The sequence below is a fragment of the Homo sapiens genome, chromosome 1 (genome assembly GCF_000001405.40).
Source record: "Homo sapiens chromosome 1, GRCh38.p14 Primary Assembly".
NCBI lineage: Eukaryota > Metazoa > Chordata > Mammalia > Primates > Hominidae > Homo > Homo sapiens.
The window spans coordinates 172,893,109-172,908,956 of record NC_000001.11 but is presented as its reverse complement, the minus strand read 5'-3'; the positions used below and the strand labels follow the sequence as shown (position 1 = coordinate 172,908,956).

The 15,848-nt window shown below is 36.6% G+C and overlaps 1 annotated feature.

Moving 5' to 3' along the window:
* Positions 935-2,134: an enhancer, noted in NCBI's record as "MED14-independent group 3 enhancer chr1:172875963-172877162 (GRCh37/hg19 assembly coordinates)". NCBI's record gives its function as "activates an origin of replication core promoter dependent on BRD2, BRD4, P300/CBP and CDK7 cofactors, and independent of MED14, by STARR-seq in HCT116 cells {active_cell/tissue: HCT116}" and the evidence as "EXISTENCE:reporter gene assay evidence [ECO:0000049][PMID:35650434]".

Here is a 15,848-nt window from a genome sequence, read left to right as displayed (position 1 = left end):
CATTGTGGTTTTGATTTGCATTTATCTAATGATCGGTGATATTGAGCTTTTTTCGTAGGCTTTCTAGCTGCATGTATGTCTTCTTTTGAAATGTGTCTGTTCATGTTCTTTGCCCACTTTTTATGGGGTTGTTTGTTTTCTTCCTGTAAGTTTAAGTTCCTTGTAGATGTTGGTTATTAGGCCTTTGTCCAATGCATAGTTTCCTAAAATTTTCTCCCATTCTGTAGGTTGTCTGTTCGCTCAGCAGTTTCTTTTGCTGTGCAGAAGCTCTTTAGTTTAATTAGATCCCATTTGTCAATTTTTGCTTTTGTTACAATTGCTTTTGGCATCTTCGTCATGAAATCTTTGCCCATTCCTATGTTCAGAATGGTATTGTTCAGGGTTTTTATAGTTCTGGGTTTTCTATTTAAGTATTTAATTCATCTTGAGTTGATTTTTGTATATGGTATAAGGAAGGGGTTCAGTTTCAATCTTCCGCATATGGCTAGTCAGTTATCCCAGCACTATTTATTGAATAGGGAGTCTTTTCTCCATTGCTTGTTTTTGTCACTTTGTTGAAGATCAGATGGTTGCAACTATGTAGGCTTATTTGTGGGCCCTCTATTCTGTTCCATTTTTCTATGTGTCTGTTTTTGTACTAGTACCATGTTGTTTTGTTTACTGTAGCCCTGTAGTATAGTTTGAAGTTAGGTAGCATGATGCCCCCTGCTTTGTTGTTTTTGCTTAGGATTGCCTTGGCTAGGGCATATACCCAAAGAAATATAAATCATTCTATTATAAAAACATATGCACATATGAATATGTCCATTGCAGCACTGTTCACAATAGCAAAGACATGGGATCAACCTAAATGCCCATCAAAGGTAGATTGGATAAAGAAAATGTGGTACATATACACCATGGAATACTATACAGCCACAAAAAATAATGATATCATGTTCTTTGCAGGAACATGGGTGGAACTGGAAGCGATTATCCTCAGCAAACTCATGCAGGAACAGAAAACCAAATACCACACGTTCTCACTTATAAGTGGAGGCTAAATGAGGAGAACACACTGGGGGCAACACCAGACACTGGGGCCTAACAGATGATGGAAGGTGGGAGGAGGGATAGGATCAGGAAAAATAATTAATAGCTACTAGGCTGAGTACCTGGGTGATGAAATAATCTGTACAACAAACCCCCTATCACACGAGTTTACCTATACAACAAACCTGCACATGCACCCCTGAACTTAAAATAAAAGTTAAGAAAAAAACACAGAATATTGCTATCAGTGAAAATCCTTTTTTGACACCACTAGTAATTAAACTCATTGAATTTACATTCCAACTGGGGTAATGAATCACTTCCTCATCCCCACCCCAGCCTGATGGCACCACCTTTTTCAGCTCTAAATACATTTTGTTATTTGGGTTTGATTTAAAAGCCTCGGTCCTGTAGCAGTCAGTTCCCACCAGATGAAAGCCAAAACAGAAACTACACAGGAAAATCCTGGAGATCTGCTGAGTCACAGTGGAGCCATCTGCTGAGTCACAGTGGAGCCATTTTCATACATATCTAAAGGAAAGAGACTACAGGAAATATAAAAAAACTTTAGTGATGGCAAGGAGCTTTGTTAAATTAATGATAGCATTTTTGTCTCTCAAGGATGAAAGAAGAGTTCAAAATCTGAAGGCTTATTAAGGGCAAGCAATTTACCTAGTTCCTCATGCTTCCATTAAATGGTGCGGCCAACTTCCTTCAGAGTTTTCCACAGTGAAAGTTAAGGGAGCAACATTGGAGGCAGTTTCTCAGCAAGGTTTTAGATTCCACATCTGAAAGCAGGATGTATGGTGAATATGCAAAGGAAGCAATAGTTTAAAAAGTTATTATTAGGCTTTGCAGGTAGAAAAGGAAATGGCAGTTTCTGAATGTTGATAACGAATGAACCTTAGCCACAACATGTTCTAAGTCATTCAAAGGTGGAAGACAGAGTAAACATTTGCAGTTTCCACAGGGAAGCACCTGCGGTGTGTGGTTCTAAGAAGATCAGCAGTGGCTTAAGATCTAAGGCAGAAGGAATTTAGCACATTTAAAGAGCAGTGTTCAAATATCTCATTTGAGTCTCATAGCTACTGGAGAGAAGCCAGCCTGTTCATCAGAGCATTGAGGCTCCAAGAGTGAATGTGTAAATGATTTTCTACTGCCATGGTATCTAGTTCCTGTAAATGGAGATGCCATCCCCATAGAATGTCCTGATGGTTTAGTCACTACTAAATTTGCACCCTCCATCATTATCTGCCTATCTATAGTTCCCTACCTGTTTTGACATTTATAAAAAAAAAATCTCTTGTAAAAATTTCATGAAAATAGAATTCTCTACATGGTTTTAAAATTTCCTTTGCTTCTAATTAATGTGTCATAATTGATGTAGATTTATATAATGCAATTTTATTCAATAGTAATTAAGATATCTGAGCCAAGATAAATATTACCAAGATTTTAGATTCTTCTTTTCGCATCTGCCTCATCCATTCTCAACACTTTTTCTAGTTAGCTACCTTTCCAGAAAGCTTCAGCCAACCTGCACCCTAACATTTGATGTTTTCTTGCAAGATTCTCCTAAGTTCTCTATTTCCTGGACTTTGGGGTTGTTTTGCATTGCTGGTTAAATTCTATAATTGTGTCCAGTGCTTTTCTCCCTGCCAAATATAAAATTCAAATGGGCTTATCCATTTAATCAGGCATATGCCCATTATTTACTCTTGAATTTCTCAGCCTCTCTCTCTTTCCTTTGAGATGCAGTCAAACACACTCAAAATCAGCCTTTCCTCAGAGGCCAGAAAATCACTGACAGCTCTACAGATGTCTTAAGAGTTAGACTAGGTGAGGCAAGAAGTCCATTGACACAGTTGAGCCATTTAATTTAGTCCATTGTTTTTGATGCTGGATCTTTATGGGTAATTACCTGCTAGACATCTCCAGCTTATATTTGAAGAGCTGTTTTGGAATCAGTAATATTTAGGGCTGGACATGTAGATTTGTATTCTTTTCTGAAGAGATGGTAATTGGATCCAGAAAGTAGAAGAATACATGTTAAGCACAACAATTATCTTGAACGTTGATAGAAATGTTTCATGTTGAGCCTCTAGCAGACACCGTTGGCTTTCTCTCCCCAGATCTCCAGTCTTTCCTCATGTTTCAATTCATCCTCCTCAGCTTCTTTGTACTTTTGCTTCTAATGCCAACATCTGACACTCCCCTCAGATACTCCTCTGACTAGTAGGGCTGTTTTTCCTACCAGAGTAGAAAGCCAGAAAAGTACTGGAAAAATTACCCTACCACATCCACCCACCATTAGTCAATGACTAACCAGTGAAGAAGTATGAAAATCCAGCTGCCTTACATAACAAACGGCCCAGTTTTCTTTGGGATCAGATTGGAGCTCTTCTCTAGAGGGCTTTGTCTGAAATTATATCCTTGCTTGACCCTCTCCCCTTCTCTATCCTACTTTTCCTAATCCCTTACTGAGATCTGAAAAATATAACCTAAGATAACTTCTTGCATGTGTAAATGTAGGGGTCACCATCAATGGAGAGTCAAGTGCAGACAGTCAAGCAACAGAGGTCAGTGTTACAAAGGATGATGGTAGTTCACTGATGCAAAGCTATACTGGAGTTAAAAAGGATAAAATGGTGTACAAACTAGCCTGAACCTGGCAGTGAATAGGTCACCAGAAACATTTGGACTGTGGTTTTCATGGATTAAAACAAATCTTTACTGGAATACAGAGAGATCTGGAGAAAAGTAGCTATTAGAAAGTCATAGTTACAACTAAGTGTAGATTATTTTCTGGGAGAATGTATCCTATCCCTATACTTGCTCATTTATTTTAATCACAAATATGCATTGAATATCTGCTATATACACAAAGCACTCTGCTTGGCACTTGGAACTGTTTGCAGTTAACAAATTAGAGCTCACAGTTTATTGGAGAAAACACATTAAAAATGAATTGCATGTAAAAAAAATAGGCAAGTAGTGCTTGTGGTAAGTGCCTTGATTAATGTTTGCAAGGATGTAAGACAGCATATAACAAGAAGCCAGACACAGGTTGAGGGATCATCGGCTGATATCCCTGAGGAAGGAAGGTATAAACTGAACCTAAAGTGTCAGAAGGATTAACTGGGCAATGGAGGTGAAAGATAGCATTTTACAAGGGAACAGCATAAACAAGGCCCTCAAGGCAGGAAGAAAACATTTTCTAAGACAGATAACTAATTTTTTCCAACTATCAGGAAAATCTCTCCAAAGGAATATATTTTGGGGCTCCTTAAGAATTTCAAATTATTTGGTTCAAAACTTCACTGAAACACACAGTAAATAATTCGTTTTACATCTTGGGTAATTCAGGTATTAGGCATATGCAGATTGGCCATTCAGATAAATAACTATGTACACATATCATTTAATTTCAACTTGAACTATTTTGGCATTATCTAGAAACACTGCCATTAATGATTCCATTTGAGGGAACAGAAATTCACCCCACCTGCACTTGCTTTCCTGAAGAAAATGGCTCAGGACTGTCCTGAATTCATAGGCTAGCCTTTAAGCTCTGAAACTCTAAGGATAGGATAAACTTCACTTTTAATGTGGGTCACATTGAGGATCTGAAAAAGGAGAAACCTACTCCAGGTCAGGAAGTTTGAATGACACTTCATTGTCTCACTTGTCATCTGGCCAACATTTCAGAAAGAAAAGGAATAAATATGCTTTAAGGTAACACAAAGGATATGACCCCCGGCTCATTTAGGAAAAAAAAATTGGAGTGACATTTAAGAAGAAGAAAACCAAGACTACCAACTCTGAATGCAGACATGTGCTTAGGCTGGGTAAAAACTTCTAAAGAGCAGTAATGGAATTCCCATGGGTTACTAGAGTTATGACTTGACTAGCCTAAAAATTAATGGTGAATTTCCCTGCAGATTTTTCTCTACTACAGACAGACTTGTTGTGACTAGATTTCTTGCTCCCTATTTCAGTTTTAATAAATAAATTTTCCCTGATTGGAGATGAAGGTATTCAAACTTAAAGGATTGGGAAAGGAAGATAATAATCCTCCAGGGTTTTTATGAAAACCACAACAGTGAAATTGAAGAACTCCATGTAGGGAAACAATGTTTATTTATCAATGGCCATGGAAGAAGCATTCCTCTCTAATAAGGGGTATGTATACTTTGACCTGCCCTTAACACTCACTTCCTAGGAATGTATGATGAGATCTTCAGAAGTTTAATTAGAAACACTAATGCTTTCATGGGCTGATATAATTATTCTAGTTAGTCTTTAAGACTTTTATACATTCTCTTCATACATTACTTATAGTATATTCTCTTGCTGAAACTACTTGCTAGTGTCAGCTGAATGTCACAGTTGGACGAGAAGGTAGTGGCCCTTAAGGAAGGATATATTATAAACATATGTATTACATATATTTGTACAACATATTACATATTACAAAACTGCAAATCAAGTTTCAATTCCATTTCAAATATTACTCCACCAACCAACATTTTTGAGTCTGGGTTGGATTTATTTAGGTTCTGAGCCAGTGAACTTGTGTTAACTTCCAAAGCTCAGACATTGCTACATGACCTTGGAAGACTTAAGTGGGAAGGATCTTTAGATAGTTTTGTCTAGAATGAATCACATAAAAATTTCTTGTATAATATAGTCATTTTCTAGAGTGGCTGGCTGCCATCTTGCTTGTAATGAAATATAATCTATGTTATTCTGCTCCATTATCTAATAAAAACCAAGCTACACAGTCAGAAAATGACCTGGCATTTGCAGTAGCCGAGTCTGCTGAATAATTAGGAGAAGCACATACAAAATGTTAAACCATGAAAAAGCTTTGTATTACCACAATTGGCTTCATAAAAATTCTTCAGCTGCTGTATGTATTTCTTCATTACACATCCAAAGACTCAGTGACTAACAATGTCACTGGTAGACATATATTCATAACAGTGTTAGTCATGGGATCTTAAAACTAGCTAAGATACATTCTGAAACTTATCTGAAACAACAGAGGTTTGTTTAAGTTTACCACAGGGACAGTATTTTCAAGTCTTCTATAAGGTCAGTACTGCATCATGACATTTACTTTTAATAGAAGAGAAACTGAATAACGTAATTTTTGAGCTCAGCATACTGCTAGTAATTTATAAACTGTCCACAATTATTTTCCTTCTAAGTTGAAGAATAGTGAACATAAAATATAGAAAAGATGCTAACTATCTACGTTAACATTCTACAGGACCAGTTCAAAAACTCAGAGCATTACGGAAACACTGATTTGTATTTTAAAAATCATTTTATATCACTTTCGCATTCACTAATTTGAGATATACTTATCTCAAATTAGTGATCCATACATCAACATACATGCATTAATGAACATAACCAAGTTGATATAGTCAGTTCCAAGTCTAGATGTTAAATATCCTCATTCAAAATAAAACTCACCTTTCACTATGTTCTTTGCCTCAATTTTATTGTGATCTAAGATGATGCAATAGTATAGAGTGCTGACTGTTAACCTGATTCCATAGAAAATTCAAAGTCAAAAACATTGAATTTTATTGATTCCATAATTAATTAATTTGTTGTTAAACATTCAGGGTTTTTTGACATCTAAAATATACTTTTAGAAAAATTTGCCGCCACTACAATAACTCTAGTGCTTTGATTTATTATTCAGACTACCTATCAAAGTCAAAACTTAGAAGCACCACTGTTAACTCTTAATCATTGACACTAATAGTGAATGATTCTTATATAATTAGCATCTACTTAAACCACCAAGTCCTTTGACTTACTTATTTAGCCACTTGCTCAACACTTTGTCTCAATTAGAATTTAATCAGTAGCAAAATTGACTAGAATTCATTTTTAAATTAATTTACACTTTACTCTCCAAGGTTTTTATAACCAAGGACACAATTCCAAGTCTCTACAATAAGAAGGGAAGAACAAGTAAGAATGTTGCGATATCTTCAAGCTTTTCAAGACAGATAATTCAGAAGAGTTAGCTCTTCATCCTTGATCTAGTTTGCGGTTGGTACGTTTCTCTTGCTTTTCCTTCCTTTCTTAAAAGTGACTGGGAAAATTCTGATGGAAGAAAGGACTGATAAATGATCATGATCAATCAGAATTGAAGATGATTTTAGAATTTAATTTAGAATTTAATTTACTCATATTAAAGTACCTTTATTTTACACTTGTGGACATTAAAGTAATGAATGCTCCATTAATTCTAGAAGTCTAAAAATATTTGAAAAGTTATAATTTCAATAAAACCATGTGCCACCTGCACATCAGTAACTTATTTATTAATGGAAGAAAGTAAGTCTTCCTATTCAGTTAAAATTTTCCTCCAGCACACAGTAACTGAGCATTGTTTGGGTCGTGCTGTGGAGAAGTATAACTTGAGGGTAGGAGTGAGGGAGCTCTAGAGTGAAGACAGCCAGGACTCACAGATGCCACCTACAAGCCTGTGAGAGAGCTGGGGGATGACTTGATGAGGAGGATCAGAGGGGAAGTAGAGAGCCATGTCAAATGAAAAAATGTTTTGGCGGTAGAATTGAGCAGACCTGCCCAACTGAAGGAGGAGAAGTCATCAAGGTAATTCCAAGATTTCCAACTTGGATGATGGAGGAAATGGGGGAATAGTAATAGAGAAAGAGAATGCAATAAGAGAACCAGGACTTTTCTGGTTTCACTGGGGAGTTGAGTTGTAGGGAGAAGCAGAGAAGAATAGATAAGTTCTGCATTAGAACTGGGGTATGTCTATCTGCAGGAGCAGGACAACAGGGAGAGAGGTCTAGGAGTGGTTAGAAATATGGATGCATAGCTCAAAAGAACTCCAGGATAAAGGTAAAAGGCAGATTTTTAGGGCATAGAGATGAGAAATGAAGAGATAATTAGCACAAACACTCAGAAAAAGAGTGAAGAGCAAGAAGACAACAGAAGTTGGAGTGCTGATAAACAACAATTAAGAGAAAAGTAGAAGCAATTGAAAGAATGGGTAAAGGATATAGGAGGAGAATAAGAAGAGAATAGATTCTGTCTTGAAGTAGAAGGGGGAGCAAGTTTCAAGAAAGAAGAAGTGGTCAATATTGTTAAATACCATGCAAGTTTCAAAGAAATGGTAAGAAAAATAAGAACAGCAAAGAAGTCATTAGATTTGGGAGACAGGATTTTTTTCACTGGTGACCTTTGTGGAGGCCAGAACATAAAGGGCAGAAGTCAAATTTAGTGGACAATAATGCGTAAAAGGTAGAGGAGTGGAGGTGGTAAGACATTATTTTATTAAACGGGGTGGTAAAGAGAAGGAAGTTGGGCAGTGCAGAGTTTTTCAGAAAGGGGAAATCATAAACATGCCTGTGGCTAAGTGTTTGAAACCCAGGCAGAAAAAGACAAAAAAAAAAAAAATGGAGAAACAAAGAATGAAACTGATTAATAAGGCAAAATCCCTGAGGATTCAAGAGGAGATGTGTCCAAAAACATAAGCAGAAGCATTAACCTAGCAATTCAGAAAAAAATATTTTTTCCACTTTGGGAGGAGAAAAAAAATGGGTGAAGATACAGTATATGTATGATATGAGAGCAGTTTTACTTGATAGTATTTCCTTTCTCTATAAAATAAGAACTGGGTCATCTGCTGAAGGCCGAGGTGGGTGGATCACCTGAGGTTGGGAGTTTGAGACCAGCCTGACCAACATGGAGAAATGCCATCTCTACTTAAAAAAAAAAAAAAAAAAAAAAAAAAAAAAATATATATATATATATATATATATATATATATATGTACAAAATTAGCCATGTGGTGGCACATACCTGTAATCCCAGTTACTTGAGAGGCTGAGGCAGGAGAATCGCTTGAACCTAGGAGGTGGAGGTTGTGGTGAGCTGAGATTGCACCATTCATTGCACTCCAGCCTGGGCAACAAGAGCAAAACTCCGTCTCAAAAACAAAACAAAACAAAAAACAAACAAACAAACAAAAAATCAGAAAAGTTTGGTGGGGAATAAAAACAGACACTGATGGAAAGAATAAAGGAATGGTTGAGAAAGGTTGACTGAAATTAGAGATAATACATTTGTAATTAAATTTATCATCAGCATCATGAACTTTTTTACAGAAGGTTATAGGAAACCCAAATCAAAAATAGAATAATCAGAATATTAAGTTATAATCTGGATGCTTTCATTTGGCAGAGTAATAAGGAGATGAGAAAAATTGCAGGATATGGAGATAGTGTATTTGAAAGTTAAGGCAAGGGGAGTCAGTGAGGGACCTGGGAAAATAAACCTAATAAACTAGATCAAAGAAGCTAGAATTCAAAATGATTTCAGGCACAGGGTTTAGTGGGTGCCAGGGAGAGAGAAATATAGAAGAATAAAAAGTTGTGGCCAAAAGGAACATTTCAGAGTTAAAGACTCCAAAGGGCACACTTTTCCAGGTACTGACCAAGTCCAGGACAGGTATAAAAATAAGGGTGTTGCTGAAATGGACAGGAAGGGATAATTGTAGAAGAAAGATGAAGTAACTGTGATGGCACTAGATAAACCATCAGGATAAAGAATAAGATAGAATGTTGAGGACCCAGTGTGGACCAGTAATTAGATTCTACATCTGTTCTGGGGAGTAAATTTTGATTGGGAAAATGACAAAAAAGAGGGTGAGGAAATGGAGAACATTCTATTGCTAATAATCATATATTACATCTCATAGGGTACGAAACCGCTGCTATGTGAAGCTGATGAGAAAAGGCTGGTAGGTTAGAAGGCATGACTGTCAGTAAGATAAAGGCTGTCAAGCTAAGAGCGTAGTCAGAAAGAATGTGTGGGTGGGCAAAGAGTGCAGGCCCAACCTCCCAGACTCAAAAGAAGGAGCTGTGATGGAATGAGTGCTTCTACTTGAGGGGGTTTCAAAGGAAGTGGTGTCACTGATAAAAGAGGTGAATAAAGAATCCACAGAAAATGTGGAAAATGTAGACATTTAAGTGTAGGTGTTACCAAAGAGATAAAAATATAGACTTACTGAAACTTTGGTGCTTGGACATAATATTAAAACATATTACAAAAACAGACTTCTTACACCAGAGGAATAGAAGATAAAACACATTATCTTCCCTCTTTATCATGATATCTTTAAAGCGTAAATCATTTTAGGCACTCCAAAAGTATTTTATAAATAGTTGAAATATTCTGTCCACCTACAAAGAACATGAGGTTTTTCATAATTGGATTACTATTGGTTTATGTTGAGCTGGCTGCCTCCTGTAGTTCTATTACTTTGGTTCCAATTTTATTCATAAAAACCTGGGTTTAATGATGTAGCCTATGACTATAAAATAAATAAAGCTAATGAGATATAAGGGGTTTGTATGCATGGCTTAGGCCTCTTTTGGACCCAACCTAGCTTTACAAGAATAGATTCAAACATTCATTTACAAAATTCCATAATTTTTAAAAGATGTTTTAGAAGACCTGAGCTCCTTGGAGGTACTTCAAGAACCATGATAGGAACCAAGATAAGGCTAAGGAAGTGTAATTTTTGATGATACAAGTTTCCTGAAGAGGCAGGAATAGAACAGAATGGAGAACACAGGTGAAAACACAAAGAGGAATATGTCTTTCACTGGATTCCAAAGGACGAAGGCAAAAATATATACAGTAAGATTGCAGGTGGGGTTTCATGAAGATAAGAAGTTCCTACCTGAAGACTACTTTTTTGGTAAAGTAAAAGGTGAGAGAGGTTCTTTGTTGAGATTGTGGGAGAATTCTTTCAGATAAGAGGCTTATGGAGAGTGCATGAGCTCTGAAATAGCTGCTATTGGAAATGGGAGCTAGAACTGATGAAATATTTGACTGTTGAGCAGCAATGAGGGCCAAGTTAAGGTTGAAGACCCTATAATGGCCCCAAAGTATAGAGAGAAAAGAGTTGGACCGAAACAATACATATTTTAAATAGTTTGAATCTTTTCAGGCTGGCGTGGTGGAAGGTCAATAGGCAAGTAATGAATCATGTAGTTTAGGCTGAATAGAGAAAGACAGGAAGGACAGGAAGAGGCTAAATACTTGGTGACCAGGAGGGATCAAAAGACTAGCAGTCTTGGGCAGGCATGGTGGCTGACACCTGTAATCCCAGCACTTTGGGAGGCCAAGGTGGGCAGATCATGAGGTCAGGAGATCGAGACCATCCTGGCCAACATGGTGAAACCCTGTTTCTACTAAAAAAAAAAAAAAAAAAAAGACTAGCAGTTTTGATAAGATATGAGAATAGCAGAAGTAACAGAGTGACAGGATTGAAGGACTACAGTCTATGATCAGAGAGCAGAATGCTTGAATTTAAGATTTCATGGGTGGGGGAAGTAGGGATGGTTAATGGGTACAAAAAGATAATTAGATAGAATAAGCAAGATCTAGTATTTAATAGGAAAGCAGGATGACTACATTCAACAATAATTCATTGTACATTTTTAAAAAACTAAGAGTATAATTCGATTGTTTGTAACACAAAGAAAGGAGAAATGCTTCAGCTGATGGATACCCCATTTACCCTAATGTGATTAATATGCATTCTACACCTATATCAAAATATCTCATATACTGCATAAATATATACACCTACTATATACCCACAAAAATTAAAAAAAGAAAAATAAAGATTTCAGGAGAGATTTCAGGTGGGTGATATCAAGGTCCAATGTATGGTCATTGGACTATATGGCTTAAGTGGAATATACATAAAGCTCACTGTAGTCTCTGTCCTATTTATCTCTCTATGTATCGGTCAATCAATTAATCAATCATCTTATCTAGCTATAACACTACTGGTCCCTAAGCATCTATACATGTATAATAGCTGACCATGCTTAAGGTGAGTTGCAGTGAAGTAACCGTCTTGTGAATGTTGTTACTAATAAGCTGATGCTATTGTAATTTTTGCATACATCTTGAAAAATGATCTGATTGGTTCTAGTGCTTCAATATACTAAACTATTTGTATATAGTATTTGTGTTGAGGCACATGTTGGTTTTTCCCTCTCCTGACAGTTATGAAAAAATTATTTTGACTACATTAGTGGTCAATATTCCTAGTTCTGATTATAAATATGTTACTACAATTTCTTCTACTCTTGTATCACCTCTGTTAATAAAATAAAAAAAATTGTATCTCAAATTACATATAATTTAATCCTGGAGTAAGGAATAATACTGTTTTATCTAAGAAGGTATTAAGGGCAGGCTGACAGGTGGAAGAAATTGGGTGTAAACTTTCAACATTCAGATATTTATGGCCTAAAATTCCATCATTATCACTTCATGCCTTTCAATTAAGCTCTAGTTAGTCTCTCTCCAGGTTTCTTTTAAAAGGCAATTATACACATCAAAAGAATAACCAATAAAATCCTGTCATGTTAGTGTAAATTAATTTATCACATCACTCTCCTATATGGTCCCTACAAGATGAGAAGACGAAGCAAGCATGGGAAACTTGGAAATTTGTGGGAATGGAGCACTGGCTGAAATGGAGAATAGAGTATAAAAACATGAAAAGCGAGTGTTGTAATACCTTCATCTTTTCAGCTATATTCAAAAGCCTTTAAAGGAAAGGGATCATATATTCTTACATGACTCATATAACAATTCTTGTCCTCTTAAAAATAAAGCATATATTTACAGGTGAATAGCTAAAGATTTCAGAGATTTTATTGCATATATATCCCAAGATCCCACAACACTTGTTACAAGATCTATTCCTTCAAACCAATGACTTCAGAAATCTTTTTAAACACATTACTGTGTTTCATGATTTAGAGGGCTGTATGCATAACTATGGATACAATAGAATTCCCATGGTGATTATGACAAGCCCCAAGGCAAGTGGTTTTCATCATATTTGTTGTCCCAATGTCACATTTGTCATCATTTTTGTTTGTCATGTCCCAGTGATATAAAGGAATTCATCCCTGCCAAGCCCAAGTTCAAAAGGTGAAGAAATAGACTCCACTCCTTGGTGGGAGGAGCAGTAAAGCTGCACTACAAAAAGGAGATGCTACAGGGATGAGAAGAATGCTTCGCCATTTTTGCAAATTAATCCACATACATTTTATAGACATAAATATAAGTGTGGAAGGATACATAGCAAACTGATAATATTGTCCACTTCAGGGAAAGGATCAGCAAGGGAGACAATATTTTATTCACTTGTATTTGTTTGACTTACACCAAACATACATTACCTTCATAAATTTTATTAAGCAGAGAGTTTTAGTAAATATAAAAGTTATAATAATTATATTTCTATCACCAAAAGTTTAATTTCATGGACACCTTAATTCATTAACACTCAAAAGAATAGAAAATAGAAAGAAAACACCCAAATAGAGCAAGTTTGTCAATATCATAGTACTATTGTTAAAGGAAACCAAAGGAAGAAATGACTTTACTGAATGATCCACAGAATTGTTTTGCAGTTTCACAGCTCACAGATTGTTTTTCACCGGACGCATCTAAGCTTCTAGTGTCGAGTTTCACTTTCAAATGTCAAAGCAACACCTCAGGAAATACACATGGCTCAGCCTGTTGCCTTTGCTTATAAAAAATCGACTCCCTTTTCAGTTAGTACTGATGGATGAAAGGACATTCTCTGATCTTTTCACCAGTAACCAGTCATATAAATCCTCCGATGAGCTCTAATTTAGTAATCTGAAATGTACAGTACTATTCACAAGTTTTTCATGACTCAGAATTTGCAAAGAATTTGATCAGGTTTCCTTTTCTAGTTTTGGTGGTATTGAGTCTGGGGAATTAATATCATAATGATCTATAAAAATGTTTCAGCTGGCTTTCGCGCTCTCTCGCGCTCTCTCTCTTTTTCTCTCTCTTTCGGTTAATATCTTTGCATCTGTGTTTCCACCAAAGAAATTTGGAACACATATCATATGACAGTGTTGTTGACACACCCCATATCTGCTCTTCAGCTTGTGTGGACACTTCTTTTTTCACTAGAGTGCTTTATTATGACTTACCTTGCTACTGTCCTGCAGGTGAACAACCCACAGACTGTGGTACCAAAATGTTTTGCGCTGAAGCTTGTAAGACAGTCACCCCTTGCATTGTTCATTCAGGCTTGATAGGATTCTCTGCAGGAAATCATCTTGAAGAGCTTGTCTTTGAAGAATACCTCTCACCACACAATTGCCCATATCTCAGGCCCTTTTTGTTCAACAGCCAAGTCATCATGTATTAATACTGTTTATACTGCCCTAAAACACAGGGACATCCAAAGGCATGCTACACCAGATAAGAGAATGAAAACCCCCTTCTACCAGTCAATCATCAGCTCTAAGGTCTTATTTCTATATTTCACTGAGTCATTTTGGAAATCATGCATGTGAAAGTCTTTTGATCTTGTATCAGCATTGGGGAAAATGAACAACTTTCTCGTATTGATTTTACAGCTAAAATTTCTCCATCCAACTGAATTGCTCAAATTGGTTAAAATCATAAATTGGCTGAAAACCAATACAAGCGAATAAAACATTGTGTCCCTTGCTGATCCTTTCCCTGAAGTGGACAGTATTATCCGTTTGCTATGTATTCTTCCACCCCTTTCTTTACAAACCAAAACAAATTGGTTAAAATCACAAATTGGCAGAAAATAACAACTTTCCAGTTACTGATTTTTTAAACATAAAGGTAATTTATGTATATCATAAGATCATAAGACTGTTTTATAATTTTTATGTTTTGATTCATTTTACATCTTTTCTTCAGAAAGTATTTGTTTAATGGTCATTTGGTTGCAGTTCTTTGTAAATGTTAATTTATATTTTAGTATTTTTATTTATTTTTGGAAACTATTTCTCACATTATTTGTGTAGCCTAGGTAGTTAGTTTACTGCAGGAAAAGAGTTTTATTGTTATCTGGCCACAAAGGTGATCTCGACGTATCAAATCTTATCAGAAAGTCTCGTCTTAATCTTTACTGAAATCTGGATGTTTCTGTTTACTTGGAATGCTAGGAGGTCCTTTTGAATGTTAGTCAGCTTTACTCTCCTTGTTCTCTAGACTTTTAAAGATATTTTCACAGGAGTCTACTAAAGACACCTTCCCCCCACTCAGCCCCAACCCCACCTCATGCACAGCCTCCTCTCTGGGATTCTGCCTTGTAGCATAAAGAAGGTCTAATTAGGATAAGGATACATCAACAGGCAAGGAGCCAAACACCAGCAGGCAAAGAGCCAAAGACCAGCCTTACTCTCCTTGGTGCAAGAATAAGGCTAAGCTACCAGAGTTCTGTGTTTTTGTTGGCAAAGCTCATGTCGTTTCAGGAAAAAGACTATTCCTGCCCAGGCCCATCTCCATGGTTCCAGAAACCTCATTGTCCTTTAAATATGCAGGCAACTATTCTGGGTTACCTTCACCACCAGCACCATCACAGTAATTCTGAAAATGACAGTTATTGGTGTCTCTGTGCTTTGGGAATACCCTTCTTCCCAGAATCACAGTGCATGTTAGCACTGGTGGCTTCCTCCTCCTCAGTCAGCTATCAAGAAAGCCAGAGATATCATCAGCCTTGGAAAGGAAAGGACAGCCCAACAGCCTTGCCATACAGGATTTTCCAGTAGACCTGATAATGAGAATTCTGAGATTATGTTGGTTAGGCCTGGAATGAAAAAAGAAAAACTCAGAGAGGGCAGGATGACATAGGCAAGGCAGCTAGCTTGGCCATCAATAGACTGCTCTTTCCAACTCTGTGAAACATCCTTCCTCTTCCCCTG